The 18,736-nt window shown below is 44.4% G+C and overlaps 1 protein-coding gene across 28 annotated transcripts in view, besides 1 other annotated feature; it reads left to right on the top strand.

Annotated features, from left to right (window-relative positions):
• Positions 1-18,736, top strand: part of OCA2 (OCA2 melanosomal transmembrane protein) — a 380,308-nt gene that overhangs the window by 221,822 nt on the left and 139,750 nt on the right. For 13 of the 28 annotated variants that reach the window (XM_047432609.1, XM_047432606.1, XM_017022258.2 and 10 more), the window contains 2 exons: positions 5,572-5,631; positions 6,236-6,340. The exons of 8 other annotated variants lie outside the window; for them this stretch is intronic. In XM_047432609.1, coding sequence (XP_047288565.1) covers positions 5,572-5,631; positions 6,236-6,340 — 165 coding nt within the window. Of the gene's footprint in view, positions 1-5,571; positions 5,632-6,235; positions 6,341-10,209; positions 10,252-18,736 lie in introns of all 28 variants that reach the window. 7 more of the 28 variants (XM_047432608.1, XM_047432605.1, XM_011521640.3 and 4 more) reach the window with 1 other exon arrangement.
• Positions 6,214-6,714: an enhancer, noted in NCBI's record as "H3K4me1 hESC enhancer chr15:28115926-28116426 (GRCh37/hg19 assembly coordinates)". NCBI's record gives its function as "activates a minimal SCP1, AML or CMV promoter by ChIP-STARR-seq in naive H9 embryonic stem cells {active_cell/tissue: H9 hESC(naive)}" and the evidence as "EXISTENCE:reporter gene assay evidence [ECO:0000049][PMID:30033119]".

Raw genomic sequence — 18,736 nt, 5'->3', positions numbered from 1 at the left:
CTCAAGATGCAATTGATTCACTAAAGTAAAACAAAATAGACAATTCCACAATCATAGAAGAAGATTTTATCACTCTTCAGAAATTGATAGAACACCTAGACAAAAAAAAATCAGGAAAGCCATAGAAGCTATGAATAACATTATCAACCACGTTGATTCAATTGACATTTGTAGAACACTATATCCAACAACCACAGAATTCAATCTTGTCATGCGTGCACGGTCAATTCACCAAGATTATAATATTACATCATAAGGATTATATACTCTGACCACAACAAATTTAAGTTAGAAATCAATAGCAGTCTAGGAAAACCTCAATGTCTGGAAAGTCAATGATACACTTCTAGTTAAATCATGAGTCAAAAATGAAATCACAAGGGAATAAGATAATATTACAAAGCAAAATGTTGATGAAAATATATAAAAAATTTTTGAGTGCACCTAAAGTTAGCTTAGAGGGAAACTTGTAGATGAAATACAACAGAAAATAAGAAAGATCTAAAATTATCTAATCTAATGTTCTACTCTAAGAAGCTGGAATGGAAAGTAAAACTAAAATACATAGGAAGAAGAAACTAATAACCATAAGATCAGAATCAACAAAGTAGGAAACAGACAAAGCAGAAAAAAACCTACTAAGCCAAAAAGCTGGTTCTTTGAAAAGAAACAATTGAACACACATCACCAATATCATCAAGAAAAGAGAGGTGACCAAACACAAACCCTACAGGAATTAAAAAAAATAAGAGAATCTATTAACAAATTTATACCAACACAGTCAACAACCTACATGAAATGGAATAGTTCCTTAAAAAATACAACTTACCAAAATAGACTCGTTTTAATAGAAAATCAAAATAGAGTTATATCAATAAAGCAGCTGAATTAGTAATTAAAATTATTTACAGAAGGAAAAGTCCAAACACAAATGGCTTCCCTGTTTAATTTTCTCAAACATTGAGTAAGAAATAATACCAATCCTATAAATCTCTTTCAGAAAATAATGGAGGTGGAGGACAGTTCCCCACTTATTTTGTAGGTCTAGTATTACCCTGATATTAAGACAAACGTATTATGTGAAAAGAAAATTACAGATCACCATCTCCCACTCACATAGATCCAAACAAGATATCAAATCAAATGCTATGGTATATAAAATAGTACAGCATAACCAAAAAAAGTTTATTCCAGAAATCCAAGGTTGATTTAACATTCAATAATTAGTATAATTTTCCATATTAACAGATTGCAGGAGAAAAACCATATGATCATTTCAATAAATGCAGAAAAAGCATTAGAGAGCAAACCATGAATTCTCAAACTGATGAAAGGCATTTTTGAAAAACCTAGAGCCAACCTTATACTTCATGGCGAAAAACTTAATTATTTTTCCATGAGACTGGCAGCAAGGCAGTCACCTTTTCCGTTCAACAGTCAATGTACTGAAGGGCCTAGTTCTTGTAATATGACAATATAAAGAAATAAAGCACAGAAAAATGAAAATGAGAGAAGTAAAACTGTTCTTGTTTGTAGGCTATATGATTGTTTATGTAGAAAATCTCAAGTGGTCTACAAAAAATCCAGTACTACCAGCACTAATATATAAATTTAGCAAGGTCAGAAGATACAAGATCAGTATCCAAAAATCAATATATTCTCATATTCTAGCGCATAATTGGAAAATATTTAAGGAACAATTGCATTTATAATGATACCAAAACCCTAAGAAACCTAGGAATAAACCTTAAAAAAAAAGTATGCTCAAGATTCCTATACCAAAAATTACCGAGATATTTTGAAAAGAAATTTTTGTAAAAGATCTAAAGATCTAATGAAGAGATATAGTCTGTCCATAGATAAGAAGACTCAGTGTTGTTTAGTGTGCAGTTCTTCCCACATTGACTTACAGATTTAAGTGCAATTGTAATAAAAATTGAACTAGGTTTTTCTGCAGAGAATGACAAGCTAATTACACAATTTATGTAGACATTCAAAGGACTAAATTCAAATAACTAAAGCATTTTTTTCCCCAAAAGGACAACTTTTGGAGCACTTACCTGATTTCCTGACCTACTACAAAGTTATAGTAATCAAGACTGTGGTCCTGGCAAAAGATAGATATAGATTAAGGGAACAGAAGAGAGAGTCCAGAAATAGACTCTGTCGATGTGTTATGTGTTATTTAAATATACAACTGATTTTAAACCACAGTGGCAAAGCAATTTATTTAGGAAAGAAAACATTTTTTCAACAAATGGTGGTGAATCAACTGGATATCTGTATAAAACCAAAAGAATGCTAGAGTTGATTTGTAGTTTTACTCCATTATCTGTTTATTGTAGTATCTTTATAGTGATGATCTCTTTTTCGTTGTTGTTTTTGGTGACTCTCTTTCCCACTTTCTACTTAAAATTATCATTTTCTCTTCACTTCTTTGGGTTCAATTTGTCATTTTCTTAACTTACAAAGATGGATACTTAGCTTTTGATTTTCATGCTTCATATTTCCCATTGTGTATATTTAAGACTATAAATTTCCCTGTAGCTGCATCCCTCAAGTTTTCATGTGCATTTTGATTGCATTTACATTTTATTTATTCAAAATTATTTTAAATTTCTATTATGATTTATTACCTTAGTTTTCTTGACTAGTCAATTTTTGACTATTTGATTTGATTGAGAATTATTTAAAATTCTATTTCCCCTTTCCTGGCAGTTATATACTCACTCTTTTAGTATTTTTAGTGGTTTAATGTCATCTGGAGATGATAGCCTTCATTCTTAACTCATTAAGGGCCCATGTTAATTGGTACTTTTAAACTCTTCAACCCCTAATTTCTTTAAGCAAAATTCCTCTTTTACATTCAGTATCTATGAATTCTCATCCATGCGGTTTTGGGGTCTGGCTAAATCTGTTTTGGTTGTTTCTGCTCTCATTCATGCTGCTTGTCTTCTTGTGTCCCTGGAGATGCAAGACTATAATCTCATCACTTCATCGTATTCTGTGGGATTCCTGAGGGCCTGCAGGCGGGATGCTTTCCTCCAGAAACTGCTGTGTCTGCTTCTTCTGGATGCCAGGGAATAATTTTAGTGCATTTCAAGGATCTTGGCTCAATGTGAGAAACAGTGGAGCCTACAACCCTCACAGGTGTTCACACCTCCTCTGACTTCAGTGCTTGATCAGCCTCGAGGTTCCAGGCAGTTCCATCCTGTGCCACTCAAGTCTTGCCGCTCCTAGACAGCTGCAGGAAATGTTTTCGTGGGGAGAGAGATTCCTTGGAAAACCATACCTTGTCTTGCTAATCTAGAATGTGTTAAAAAGTATGTTTTATCTAGGGTCCATTTGTTTGGCTGAAGAAGGGACTCTTAGACCTCCTAGTTTATCATTTTGAAATAAGTGGTAGCAATGATTTATTGTATTGGCTTATTTCAGTGGGACAAGGATGTCAGGTCATTGCTGAATCAGCATTTCTGTGACAGACTAATGATGTTTCACATCCTGATTTATACCACACAATCATCTTTTCACTGTATAAGCTGATGAAGGAGACAAGTAATATGTATAATCTTCAACTGTACATAAACTTCACATACTGTAAAATACACATTATATACCTACAGTGTTAGGCTTGATAGATAGGGATGTGCTAGATAATTACTTTATTTTGTAAAAGAGTGTATTTGTATTTTCTTCATATTTTGATTTTTTTTAAATTAAGAGATCATTTATTTTGAGCTGAGTTATTAGGTGCAATATTCAAGTTTTTTGAAGATTTTACTTTATTTTGTCTTACATTACATAACGCAGAGCATGATATTTAGGATAATTATATGACACTAAATATGTAAATATAAATGTCTATAGGTACACATCAAGAGGTGCACACCATACTCTGTGTGCATGTGGGGGGCATATACACACACAACCATCTCTATTTGGTATTTGGCAGAACATTTTAATCTGGTTTAGGCCTCTGATTTTTCTTTCAACTGATGATATCAAACAAAATAAAAGGTATAGCTACATTCAATATTTTTTCAATTTTAAAGTGTTATTTAATAAAATTTGGATTATGATAAATTATTCGTTCTTTAACAGTGGGTGATTTTATCCCCCCTGGGAACATTGGTTCTTAACAGGGGGTGATTTTACTCCCCCAGAGGACAGTGGCTGTGTCTGGAGACATCTTTGGCTGTCACACTGGTGTTGGTGAGGTGCCACTGGCATCTAGTGGCACCAGGCCAGGGCTGCTACGCAACATTTTATAATGCACGGGCCAGCCCCACAGCCAAGAACGATCTGGCTCTAAGTTAGCAGGGCGAGGGTGAGAAACCCTGCTCTAAAGAGATTCTCCTTATGACTTAGTTGATATAAAAGCAAACTTGATGGAGAATCGTGATTGAAGACCCAACATTTGGGCTCCATAGCTTTTAAATGAAAGTCGGCTAACAACTGTACATGCAGATTGAGATTCTGAAGCTTAATTTAAACTTGGACAAGCTGGCCGGCACGTTGGCTCACGCCTGTAATCCCAGCACTTTGGGAGGCCAAGGCAGGCAGATCACCTGAGGTCACGAGTTCGAGACCAGCCTGGCCAACATGGCGAAGCCCCATCTCTACTAAAAATACAAAAATTAGCCAGGCATGGTTGTGGGCACCTGTAATCCCAGCTACTTGGGAGGCTGAGGCAGGAGAATCACTTGAACCCGGGAGGTGGAGGTTGCAGTGAACCGAGATCGTGCCACTGCACTCCAGCCTGAGCAATAGAGCAAGACTCTGTCTCAAAAAAAAAAAAAAAATTAAAAAATTAAAAGAAAAAAGCGCAGACAAGCTGCTGTTTCCAATATTTGCAGTCTTTCAGCGCGATGGAATCACAGTGAAAAGGCCACACCCACAGAGGTGCTGGGCAGCTGAGCCACCGGCACCTGTTGCTTTCCGGTGACCTCTCACAGTGGCTCGGTCGTGAGCCTCTGGGCATCCCTGTGTGGGACCTTGGCCACCTGGGCAGAAGGCTCCTGCGTCTCATCTTCTCTCTTCTACTCTTTCCTGCCTTTCCCTGAGTACAGTTTTCTGAATCTGCCTAGTACTGTGAAAATAGTTACATGTGCCAGTTAAATAGACTTTTCCTTTCTTTCTTTGAAGATTACAAAAACTGCATTAAAAATGTCTTTTAAAACTCTGTGATGTTTAACTTTAAAAAGAAATTGGAAATGCGACTTTCTTGAAAGATCTATATGGAGTGGTATTTCATTATGTACGATTGAACAGTATCTTTATACACAGGTCTTAAAGAGAGTCTTCCATTCGGATTTAAATTTAACATGGACCTTAACTCAAATCAATGAGGGATTTCTGCCACTGCTGTTGGACTTTTTCTCCATGAATCTTCGTTGTGCATATATGATAGTAAATTATTTATAGACTGTGTATTTGAGTCTGATCTTTTATAAGAAGCAGGAATCTGGGCCTACCTTATGTTCACGTCTTTTCATTTTCAAGACTTTTTTTTTAAATCTTGCATATATTTTCGGTTCTAAACTGATTCTCACCACACATCCTTTCTTCTAGGCATTGGCACATCTCCACTTAATAGAATATGTTGGAGAACAAACTGCTTTGCTAATAAAGGTAAAATAAATGCTATAATAGAAGGCACTCCAGCCACTGTTCTTTGATTTTGTGAAAAAAATTAAAAAAAAAAAGCACTCTGGTAAGAACAGGTCCCATTAATTATGTAAAAAGGCACAGCAGGGAACCTGTTCTATCCTGTGCAGCCCAGAGATGAAGGGAGACTTTTTCCGAAGAATATGTAATTACAGATGCCTGCTCTTTTGCTTTTAGCCTTTATTTAAAGCCTGTCTGAGAAGGAGTGGGATTGACACCAGCCTCAGTAAATGAGTGCTGCAGGCGCCCCAGCCCCAGGGGTCTGCCGGGCCATCAGGTCAATGTGACCAGTGTGCGCAGCCACCACATGGGGATGAGGGGCAGGGTCACTCTGCCTCCCCATCCAGGGGGCTGGCAGGTCTGGGCATGGCTGGGCTTTGCTGGTAGAAACCCAGCAGAGGCTCCTGGTGTGGGTGTGGCCCTGGCTTGCACACCTATGTCTGCCTTGGTCTCGTGATGGGTAAGAGGAAGGACTAACACCCTCGGGCCCCTCTGAGTCTCGCGGCTGGTGGGTCTGACCCTAAGTGCATGCGATGGAACACTGCAGCTGCTATTGTCCTCCTTCCAGATGGTCCCAGAGGAGCAGCGCCTCATAGCCGCCATTGTCCTGGTGGTGTGGGTCTCAGCCCTGGCGTCGTCCCTGATTGACAACATCCCGTTCACTGCTACCATGGTGAGTTGCACATGTCCATGTCGACGGCTCAACTTTAGCCTGGACATAGCCTGGGGCTCACCCTCCCTTCCTAAGGCAGCAGAGGATGAAGCCTGCCCCTCTGCTGCACTCACAGGTGTAGAGGACGAAAGTGAGCAGAGCCCAGGGCAGCTGGGTGGGGAGTGCCGAGAGCCCAGACTGCAGGCTGGGAGCCGAGGCTCTGCAGCTGCCGTGGACAGCACGTCCTGGGGTGACTGGTGATCTCGAGGTCAGCCCCACTGAGAGCTGCCACCCCTCCCAGAAAAGGCTGTGCTTGCTTGCTTGCTTTCTCTCTTTCTTTCTCTTTCTTTCTTTCTCTCTCTCTTTCTTTCTTTCTTTCTTTCTTTTTCTTTCTTTCTTTCTTTCCTTTCTGTCTTTCCTTCCCTCCCTCCCTCCCTCCCTTCCTTCCTTCTTTCCTTCCTTCCTTCCTTCCTTCTTTCCTTCCTTCCTTCTTTCCTTCCTTCCTTCCTTTCGAAAATTGTGAGACATCAAAAGATAGAGACTTGCATCTTCATTTGCGGCGGAGGCAAAAGCTATTCTAACCAGCCTGTGTGTCTCCTAGTGCTTGGCCTGGGCAAGATCTTTCATTCTCTGTGTGGTCTTGAGCCCCAGCCAGGATTGGAAGTACACATCGAAGACCTTTAGTTGGGCAGATGAGCCTGTTCCTGGCGTGACTTCTGCCGTCACTGATTGCTTGGCTCAGGGCAGGAACTGGGAATCCAGGTGTGGCAAAGTAAAGATAGGCCCAGGGGCTTGCACACAAGTCTCTGGGGTCCTCTCACAAATACTTGAGGTCCCAGGTGTGCAGGGCACAGGCCAGAAGCCTGGTGAGCACTCCCCATGGCAGGACACAGGACAGGGGAGAGCCCTCTGTTCTTCTGACTCTGAGGGTCTCCCCCTTCCCCGCAGGGAACATCCCATGCAAGGGGGTCCCAAGACATCCCACCGCCCTGTATAGTATTCTGAACAATGGCACCCCCGGGCTGGAGCAGCAGGCCTGGCTGTGTGGGGAGAAGGGCAGGCCAGGCTCATGCAGCGCCGACCTTAGGCGGATCTGGGAACCTGCATCCCTCGCTTGCAGCCTGGAATTTAGTTTCTGCCTAGGTTGGCCCTCTAGTTGCTTGGCTGTTGCTCTCCTTCCAGGGCCTGGGTGTGGTAATCCTGAACTAACTCGGTGGCTGTTATTTTTTTGGTGAAGTTCCAAATTGGAGAACTCTTGCGGCTGTTGTCAAATGTCCCGGCTGTGGCCCAGCTGGCTCCACCTCTCCCTGCGCCCCAGGCAGGCTGATGCCTTCTGGCAGGGCTGCCCTTACCCAATCCTCAGCTTCATCCTGTGCATTCATCCTGTTCTCCAGGGAAACACAGTCCACAGGAGACTCCGCGCTGTCCCAGCCAATGAGGCCACAGTTGCGGACCGAGCGCAGGACCCCGACACAGCCTCCATCAGTGCTTCCTTCTGACCCTGCGCTCACAGCTGAACCCCACCTCTGGGGGGCTCTGAGGTTTGCACCCAGATCCTTTCTGGGACTGAATTAGAAGAGCCCTAGCATTGATGATTTAAGTTGCTGCTTTTTCTGAGAATAGGACACTTTCACAGTTTTGTTCCATAAATTTTTATGACTACCTAAAATTTAACTTTAAAAAATGGAATCAGAGACAATAGTACAACAAATATCCATATGTTCACCACAGAAAGTGAGAAAGTGTCAACATTTTATCCTCTTTGCCTCAGAATTTGTTGTGTGTTTTATCAAGAAATACAACATTACAGATAAACAGGCAGGTCTCTGTTCTTCCCCTGGAGTCTCAGGACCATCTCTGCCCTCATGAATGTGGGTCCCATCCATCTCTGCAGTGGCCGCTGTGGGGGTGCTGAGGGTGGGATGCTGGCTCTTGTGTGTCCACAGGGGCAGAAGCCACATACAGCATGACCACAGCAGCCACAGGGTGCAGAGGTGGACACACAGCTCTTCAAAGCCCATGCATCTCCCCGGAGTGACTGTGCCACGCTAGCATGAGGTGTCTGCAGTGGCCACATCACGGGAGGGACATGGGGAGCCACTGGGGTTTGCTGCCTCAGGCTGGAAGCGGCATGCAGCGATGGTCACAATCCTTGGGTGGGAAGGGGACATGTGGCCCTTCCCTGGAGCAGGGATCTGCGAAGTGGGTGGGCGTCGAGGTCTCTCCACTTTCCCTCACTCCCTTCTCCCCTCTTTTCCTTTGAGTGTCTTTTCACCACATTTTTTAAAAAGCTGTATTGAAGTCATTGACAAAAATCTGCACCTATCGAATGTATAAGTTTTCATGAATTTGGACATATATGTGTATACCTGTGATAATATCACCACAATCAAGGTACTGAACGCATGCATCATCTCCATACATGTGCTTATGTGTATATATGTGTGCTTCATGGTAAGAACACTTAACACCCATCTGACCTCTTAGTACACTTTGAAGTGCATGATACCATATTAACGCTAGGCACTGTGTCATACCACGGCCCCTGGAATGTACCCATCTGGGATAACTGAAACTCTACCCATTGAGCAGCCTCTGCCCATCCCCCTCCCTCCACCCCCGACAGCCACCATTCTACTCTCTGCTTCCGTGAGCGTGACGATTTTAGATTCCACACACGATGGAATCAGGCGGTGTTGCTCCTTCTGTAACTCGCTTATCTCACATAGCATAATGCCGTCTGCGTTCATCCATGTTGTCACAAATGGCAGGATTTTCTGCTCTTTTAAGTCCGAATCACCTTTCATTGCATATATATTCATATACCACATTTTCTTTATCCACATGTCCATCAGTGGACACGCAAGTTTTTCCCATGTCTTGGCTATTCTGAGTAATGCTACAGTGAAAATGGGAGTACAGCTATTTCTTCTTCGAGAGCCTGATTTCCGCTGCAGGTGGTTAGAAGATATGGTCTATAGGGTTTAATGCTTAGAAACCCCCAAAACATCATCTGACTTACCATGTGACTGTTTTTCTCCAGCTGCACGCCTAAAAAGCTGCATGTCAGCTTCTGCACACTGCGGCTGCTTCGGTCACTCCGTGTTTGGCTTCTGCCCCTGCTGACACACAGGAGCCAGGATCCTGCCCCAGCTCCTCCCACAGTGGGCTGCTGCATAGGTGGTTACGACTTGAATTCATGAAGGCAGCTCCCTGAGGAGAGGGAAGGATGAAAACAATCCTGGGGCCTGAGGGAGGAAAGGAGCTTCACATTTATTTATAATATTTTGTTCCTTAAAAAATAAGCAAAAAGGAAATCCTGCAGCAAAGGAGATGAAATGTTCAAATTTTCTCAGTGTCTGTGAGCAGTTAACATACATATATATTGCTCATATAATGTGAGCATTAACATACATAAGCATGTCGTTGTGTTGTTATCCTCTAGATTCACTTATCTCTTTTAAATCAATCTGTTTTGATACAGCAGAGAACTTTGTTAATTGGTTTGTTTCTCCTTGCACTTCAGCACGTTTTTGCATTATTTACTTTGTGATCATATTAGGTGTTAAAAGTTCATTATCTAGTAACTTCACAGCGACTGGTTTCTTTTACCTTGTGTGAGGTCTCCATCTCTGCTCTGAGCCTCTGCCAGGTTTATCTTTTTCTAGTCCTTTATTTATTTATTTTAAATTCTTTTTCCAATTGCATTTTTAAGCAGCATGCAAGTAGATTTTTAAAATTCAAAGCAGATTATCTTTTAAGAGAATAGTTTAACATGTTTACATTTATTGTAATGACTTATCGACTTGAACTAAGTACCATCATTTCACTTTTTAATGCTTTTTCCTTGCTAATTCTTTTTTTTCACCATCATTTCCTGACTTCTTTAGATTGATACATCATACCTCCGCATCCATCAACTGGTTTTGAAGGTACTGATTTTATTCCTAGTCCTTTAGTGGAAATCATTCTGTTTGTAATGCACCTAGTGGTATCAACATTTCAAACAACAGTTGCAGTGAACAGAACCTATTTTAGTTAGTTTAAGATGAGAAGGAGTTTATCTAGGGATAGTACATAGTTCTTGGAATTTCTGAGAATTTCTCAACTGCACACTGGGAATGGGGGGCGGCTGCCCACAAGCCCCCAGCTTTTGCAGCTTGCCCTGAGTGCTCAGGATCCCTGCCCCGACGCTGGCTGCTGAGTCCAGGGACTTCTGTCAGCCTGCTCTTGAGTATGCCTTGTCACACCTCTCCTCCAAATTCTCCAGACTGGCCTCTGGAGCAGGTGTGTCTGATTGGAGGAACCCATGCCTGTTCTAGCTGCAATGCAGGTGGCAAAAGTGTGTTTCTGGCTTCTGCCTTGGAGGCCCAGAACTCACAAAACAGATCTCCGAGGAGGCTTCAAAGCCTTTCTCCATCCCTACCTCAGCGCTTTCTCCTCGATGCTTCTGTGCTTCCTGGTGCAGAGCCTCGCTTGCCCTCTGGGTCCCACAGTACTGTGCACCTACATCCACCAAGTCACTGGACAAGCGGATTGTCAAGAGTGTCTGCAGCTGTCTGGGAATTCCAGCCGTTTGTGTTTGTAGCCTCATTCACTAGCGTTATACCTGGCACCAAAAAGATATTTAGCAAGTGTTTGCAGATGAATAGGAAAGTGAACTAACTGCAGTAGATTAATTGTCCTGGAATAACTCTGTGTCTGCCTCCTCCCTGGCCTGCCATCCTCTGCTACTCTGTTACTGAGGGAGCTGGACACCCCATGCTTGCTGCATGTCTCAGAGTCGCAGACCCTAGCTGTGCACCTCCCTCCTGCCAGACCACCTGCCACTCGAGACACACCCTCATCTTCAGTGATGTGGTGCCACCTCTTCAGCACGACGCTGGGGCTCTTGTGCCTTTGACAGTGCTGTTCTTTGCCACTGGTGGCAGCTGTCCCTCTCAACTCCCTCCTTCCCTGTACTGGGAGCCAGCCACACCAACCTATAGCCCTCTACATTGCCTGGGTGGGAGCTGGTCCTTTCTCTGGATCTGCCTTCCCTCTGGCAGCCTCTGGGTACGATGGCCTGCCCTCTGGGTGGAGGTAGGGTGTCCTGCTCAGGCCCCCAGTCATGTAAGGCAACTCATTCATAGTAAATCCTCATGTCTACAGTTTTCTCCCACTGGTTCTGGCTTCTGACAGATGCAGTGATAGGAATGGCTCTTTGGGAGGTGATCTGGGTTTCCTGCCTACAGAGGGGCCCCTTTGACTGGGAGGACCTTTACACTGCACAGCTGTGGAGCCCTCTGAACCCAGGGAGTGACGAGGAGAGTATGTGGGTGGCAACGCGGGTCTAGTTCAGGCCTGAGATCTTTGCAGTCATGCGTCCCTCTGCACCTGCTGCTGATGTAGAGAGAAGGCAGTGCCGCCTCCTTGCCATTCTGTAACGTTTGTGCCCTGGCCTGGCTTATGTAGATCTACAGAATTCAGGCATCTGAGCTTCTTCTGTAGTTGGCCAGGCTTCTTGGTCCTCAGGGTTGGCGCTAACCAAACACCCTTAGAGTAACTGGTCCTCTCTGCACCCACTCGGGAGGCCTGCTCAGTGTTCAGGTGGGGAATGGACAAGAAGACCAAAGAACATTCATGAAAATGCATCAGGAGAGACAGGTGTGCCTGCCCACAGCTGCAGACACAGCATGAACACAGGGTGCAGTGCCTGGGCTCTCGCCGCCCAGTCAGCAGAGCTGCCTGCCTTCCCTGCCTCCTCGCCAGCCTCTGTCAGATGCAGAAACACACCTCTGGCTGGCGTCATTGGCCAGGTCAACAGGACACTCTTCACTGGGGATTTTAACATGAATAGAACCTTAAAAAGGGTCAGAGAGCGGGCAGGTGCAGTTGCCACCTCCAGTGACATGAATGCAGGCCACTGTGTAGGTGGGGAGAGCTGGCGGGGGCCTGAGCTGTGTGGGGCATTTCAGCAGCCTTCGCGTGGTATTCCAGGGAATTGAGTCTCAAGAGACAAAACAGAACCCATCTCTTCTCCGATGGCGTCATCTCTCCAAGCGTGTCTTCAGCTTGGGGTTGTTTCTGCTACATTTGCGTTGTCAGCTATGGCCTGAGAGCAACAGGTGAACTCTGTTCACATTTGTTCAGGATATTTCTCTTCCTATTTCTTTTCTTGGCATGGAGACGTTTAACCAATATTTCCATACAGGGAAATCCCTTTCACACCCGCCGCCTCTTCTTCCTTCCTCTTGCCCTCTTGGTGGGCAGGCGGCCTCTGTGGGTGGCGTTCTTAGGGCTCCATTGCATGGCCCTAAAGACCGAGTTGGAACCGCTGAGAAACAGCATAATGACTGAGAATTCCCTGACAGTCTTTCTCCATTTAAACCTTAACTTTTCAACCTCATGTGCTTGAACAGGAAGAATCCTCAGGCAACTTTCAAGTTAAAAGATTATTACTCTTGTCCTGAATGTTGAATTCAAAGGCTGGTAATTTATGCACATAAATCTGTGGGTTTCCTTCAACTGACTTGTTGGCACTCATCATTATCTATGCTGTCACCCAGCCTCTGGGTGGAAGGCAGTTTCTCAGGCATCTCCTTTCCCCGGCTTTCTTTGCAGTCTCGCCCCATCCCATAGCCCTGCGGGAGGTATCAGGACAGACATCCTGGGCTATCACACCTGGCACAGGAGAGCACTCTTTCAGAGGATGTGAGAGTCAAAAACATTTCATTTGAGCTTTAGCTTTACAATTTTTTAAAAAACTTAATCTCATTTTTGTTTTAACTCCTCCTGTCCTGAAACATCCAGGAACATAATTATGTGGAGGATCAAACCCAGCCTGGCGGATTGCAATTAGGTTTAATAACATGAGCAGTTGGCACTATTAGCAGCTCAGGTTCTGCAGGAGGTGGATCTGGGCTTGAATCCCAACTCTGCCATTGTGCAAGCTAAGGAGGTGCTAGAGTTAGAGAAACAGAAATGGGAGGAGCACAGAAATGCCATTTTCCCCCATTTGCTTGGTGCTGAGCCTGGTACTGATGGGCTGTGTGGGTTACAAGTCTGCCCCGGACAGGTGCACAATGGATGCCCTCTGGGTGGTTGGGGAGCAGCCTCAGAGGGGCACTGCCGGCCCAGAAGTGAGGGTCTCCCATCTTCCATGGTCCACAGACCAGCCACTACACCGCCAGACCCCAGCTCCATGGCACCCCGTGAAATCCAAGTGGCACATTTAGGGGACCAGTAGTGTGAGAGAAGATTATCCACTGTGTCCCACCGACACAATACAACAAATGATAAATTATGAGGACACTCAGAGATTTAAGCACAGCACAAAAAATAGTTTCTGGAACTAAAACCTATAATGTTTTCAACAAAAAATATTGAATAATGAATTGAAGAAGAGCAAAGTGTTAGGCCTGAGTTGCTGTGCTTGCAGCCAAGTGAGAGACATATGTGCAGGTACAGAACAAAAGCAAAGAGAAACAGAGTCGTGAAAAAGGGTGAGAGATTTGGAGGCGAGACCCAGGGGACCCAGCGTGGCCATGACAGCAGTTCCAGAATGGGGAGAAGGAATGCATTGTATTGAAAAAGCACAGCCCTTTACCCTCAGATGGGGCTTGGGCACCGGCAGCATCACAGCACTGGGAACTTCTAACAGGTCAGGGTCTCAGATGCTCAGACCCTTGAGTCAGAGCCTGCATTTGGACAAGGTGCCGGGTGACCCACTCCACACATTGGCATTGGAGAAGTGCTGGTCTAGGCCCGGCCCATCAGGAGGACTTGTGCCCCTGCCAGCTATAAATAGCTCTCCCCTGCCTCATGGCAATCCATATCTCAGCTCTCAGAATCCCAGTGAGGGTGCAGCCTTCCCTGTGCTTACCTGAGGCACTTGTACACCTTTACCAGGGGATCCGCCCGGAACTGCTGCTGGGTGGCTGCTGTGTCCCACACAGCCAGGAGCCGACTGCAGCATCCCTCACCCATGCCCCAGGCAGCTCTGCCCTCCTCCCACCGCTGCTCTGTGCCTGCCATCTGCCTAGGTCACCTCTGCCCCTGCCCAGTTAGTTGCAGCCTCAGGGGGCCTCTCCTTCCTGACCTGTCAGGTCAGCCCTGCCAGCCTCCCGCTGATGGTTAGTGCCTTCTCGGCCAGCTTCCCAGGCCCCTGAGTCAGACCCATTGCCTGGGCCAGAGGTCAAGCAGTGAGGACCATGTGCCTTCCAGCTGTCACACAGCGGAAAAGGAGCTTCAGATGTATATTTAGATGAATTATGATGTTGTGGTATTTAAATTTGAAAGTATACATTTAAAAGAATGACGGGATGCCTTTGTTTAAGAATGTTGATATAGACTATGTCCTTGGGGACTATTGTATATTGGAATGGCAAATTTGACATACGAACTTAAAATGTCTGAGGAGGCTGGGTACGGAGGCTCATGCCTGGAATCCTAGCACTTTGGGAAGCTGAGGCAAGTGGATCACCTGAGATCAAGAGTTCGGTACCAGCCTGGCCAACATGGTAAAAGCCTGTCTCTACTAAAAATACAAACATTAGCTGGGCATAGTGGCACACACCTGTAATCCCAGCTACTCAGGAGACTGAGGCAGGGGAATGGCTTGAACCCAGGGGGCGGAGGTTGCAGTGAGCCGAGATCGCACCACTTCACTCCAGTCTGGGCGAAAGAGTGAAACTCCATCTCAAAAAAAAAAAAAAATGTCTGAGGAGGTCTACTTTTTTTTCAAAGTTCTTTGGCGCTGGGCAGGCAGCATGTCCCCTTGTATGGGTGCTGTGCACTGTGCATGCCTCTTGTGCCCCATCAGGCCTCCAGCACTGCCCCTCCTTTGAGGCTGATGACCATGCTTTCTGTCCGTGAGGACTCGAGGCTGATGACCACGCTTTCTGTGAGGACTTGAGGCTGACGACCACGCTTTCTGTCCGTGAGGACTCGAGGCTGACGACCATGCTTTCTGTCCGTGAGGACTCGAGGCTGACGACCATGCTTTCTGTCCATGAGGACTCGAGGCTGACGACCGCGCTTTCTGTCCATGAGGACTTGAGGCTGACGATCACGCTTTCTGTCTGTGAGGACTCAAGGCTGACGACCATGCTTTCTCTCCATGAGGACTTGAGGCTGATGACCATGCTTTCTGTCTGTGAGGACGTAAAAGCAACCATGTGGGCACTTTCCACGTGACGCCGTGGCCACCCAGTGCATCCTGGCTGCATTCCGGGTGTGTGGGGGGATGTCTGGCTCCCAACGAAGACCGGTGCCTTCACCCAGGACCACATGCCACTGTCCTCCCTGCATCATTTATTCTTCACTCTGCTGATCATTCGCAGGCGGATCCAGACTTGCTGCCGTGTCTCCAGGCCTTCCCGCCACTCCCCTATTTCCTCAGTTTCCTGTAGCCAGACACTTCGAAAGGGAGTCTGAAACTTTCTTCACTTTTTCTTGGCTTTACTGCAATTGAGTTTTTCTTCCATAATCCATGGACATAGTTCTCTCCAAGATCACTAAGGACTAGTGCCCGCCCTCGAGAGAGACCCCCTTGGAACCTGGCCAGTCAGCAACATGACATGGAGGCCACCCCTCAGAATCTTTCCCCGCCTGGCCCTTCAGGTACTCCTCCTCCCTGCACGGGGCTCCTTCTCCTCGCCTCCTTCCATGACCCTCTCCATCTTCCAAGCCCAGAACCCTGGAATCAGCTCTGACCTCCACTCTCTAGACTCACGGCTGCAGGGGTCTCATCTGAACACTTACTCCAAGTGCCATCCACAGCAACCTCTCCTGGGCTGCTCCCCAGAGCCTAGCCCCGGTTGTCCACCTGCCTCTCCATTTCTCTCCTGGGGCACTGCAGGTGTTACAGACTTAACGTGTCCCGAACTGAAATCCTGATTCCATCTTTCCCCACTCTTCCTTGCCCTCATAAATCGTGACTCCGTTCTCTCAGTTGCTCAAGCCCCTGAGGCTGAGAGCCAGCTAACACCTCACCTTCTCTAACACCCCATGGCCAGCTGCCCCTCAAAGGTTTTGAATCTGATCCATTCTTGCCATCTATACTCCTGTCCCCTGAGGCCCCAGCAAGGACCACATGCCCTCCTGCTGTCACACAGTGGAAAAGGAGCTTCAGACGTATTGTTCCCAAATACATTCCAAATTCTTCCTTTTGTTTCCACTCTTGCCCTGCTCCTGAGAGCCTGTGGTCCACAGAGGCTCCCTGCTTTGGTATAGCCCAAGGTCTTGGCGATGGCTTGCACCTCTCCTAGGCCTGGCTGCTGCTTCCTCCCTGAGCTTACTTCTTACTGCTCTTCTCTCTGCTGACTTCACTGCAGCCATAGTGGCCTCCTTGGATTTCAACCTAGCAATCCCACTGCTGAGTGTATACCCAAAGGAGATGGAATCATTCTACCAAAAAGACATGTGCCCTTGCGTGTCCATCACTATGCTACTCACAGTAGCGAAAACATGGAATCAACCTAGATGCCCATCAGTGGTGGATTGAATAAAGAAAATGTGGTACATAAACACTGTGGAATACCACACAGTCATAAAAACAATGAGATCATGTTCCTTGCAGCAACATGGATGGACCTGGTGGTTATTATCCTAATCGAATTCACACAGAAACAGAAAACCAAATATTACATGTTCTCACTTGTAAGTGGCAGCTAAATATTGGGTACATATGACACAAAGAAGGGAATAATAAACAGTGGCGTTTTCAGAAGGGAGGAGTGAGGGATGAGGACGAGGGTTGAAAAACTACCGAGCAGGTACTATGCTCACTGCTTGGGTGACAGGAACATTTGAAGTCCAAATCCCAGCATCACACAAGATATCCATGTAACAAACCTGCAGGTGTGCTCCCCTGACTCTAAAATAAATTGATTATAAAGGCTTTTGCACTTTTGTATGCTTTCTGTCTGAGATTCTATTCACACAGATCATTAGAGCTTGGTCTTGCTCCTTCACCTTTTATTGAGTTTTGCAAAATTGCTCCTTCCCAGTGCTAAATTGACAACCTCATCCTCCCTGTCTCCCTTTTTGCTTTATTTTTTTCCCCATAACACTTAATACCACCAAGCATACTGTGTATTTTACTTATTCATTATTCTTTTGAGCTGCTTAGTTGTTCAATGTTTGCTTTTAAATAAAATTATACATTCATACAGTTTAAAGTGCTAAATCAGCCTGGAATTCTTGTTTAAAAAATAGCACCTTTATAACTTTCATCACATTTCTTTTTCTCACAGAAAACCTTTTTTATCCTTTGCCACTTTTTATTTTATTTTATTTTATATTTTGTTTCCTGAGTGCTGCTATCTGCCATCTTTTTTCCCAAGCCCTGGGGTCTTTCCATCGATGTCATGTTTGTGGAGGCAATGGCTTCCTTCCGTTCCTTTCTTCCTGTAAGAACGTTGGTATAGACTACATCCCAATTTCATCAGGAACATTGATCTGTAGTTTTCTTTTCTTGTAGTGGCTTTGTCTGACTTAGTATCAGGGTAATGCTGGCCTCATGGAATGAGTTAGGAAGTATTCCCTCTTCTTCATTTTTTGAAACAGTTTTTGGAACGTTGGTATTAATTTTTCTTTAAATGTTTGGTAGAATGCACCAGTGAAGCCATGTGGTCCTAGACTTTTCTTTGTTGGGAATTTTTTGGTTACTGATTCAGTGTCCTTACTAGTTACAGATCTAATCAAATATTCTATTTTTTCATGAGTCAGTTTTGGTAGATTGTGTATTTCTAGAAATTTATTTATTTCACTTAGTTAACACAATTTGTTGGCATGTAATTGTTTATAGTTTTCTTTTATAATCCTTTTTATTTCTGTAAGATTGGTAATAATGTTTCCACTTTAGTTTTTGATTTTAGTCGTTTGTATTTTATCTCTTTTTCTTAGTCAATCTAGATAAAACTTTGACAATATCGTCGATCCTTTCAAGGAATCAGCTTTTGGTTTTATTGACTTTCTCTATTTTTTCTATTCTTCATCTTATTTATCTCTCTTCTAATCTATCTTATTTCCCTCATTCTACTAGCTTTAGGTTTAGTTTGCTTGCCTTTTTATAGTTTCTTAAGGTGTGAAGTTAGGTTATTTATTTGAGGTATTTCTTCTTTTATAATATATGCATTTATAGCTGTAAATGTTCCTATTAGCACTGCTTTCATTGAATTTCACAAGTTTTAGTATGTTGTGTCTTCATTTCTCTTTGTCTTAGGTGTTTTCTGATTTTCCTTGTAATTTCTTCTTTAACTCATTGGTTGTTTAATATTTGTAAATTTTCTCTTTTTCCTTCTGTTACTGATTTCTAGTTTCATTCTACTGTAATTAGAAAAGATACTATGTATTATTTTAATCTTTTAAAATTTATTGAGAATTGTTTTGTGCCCTACATGTGGTCTATCTTGGGGAATATTTTATGTCTCC

This window comes from Homo sapiens, chromosome 15 (genome assembly GCF_000001405.40).
Source record: "Homo sapiens chromosome 15, GRCh38.p14 Primary Assembly".
Lineage (NCBI taxonomy): Eukaryota > Metazoa > Chordata > Mammalia > Primates > Hominidae > Homo > Homo sapiens.
The sequence above is the reverse complement of the archived record's forward strand: the minus strand, read 5'-3'. Positions and strand labels throughout refer to the sequence as shown.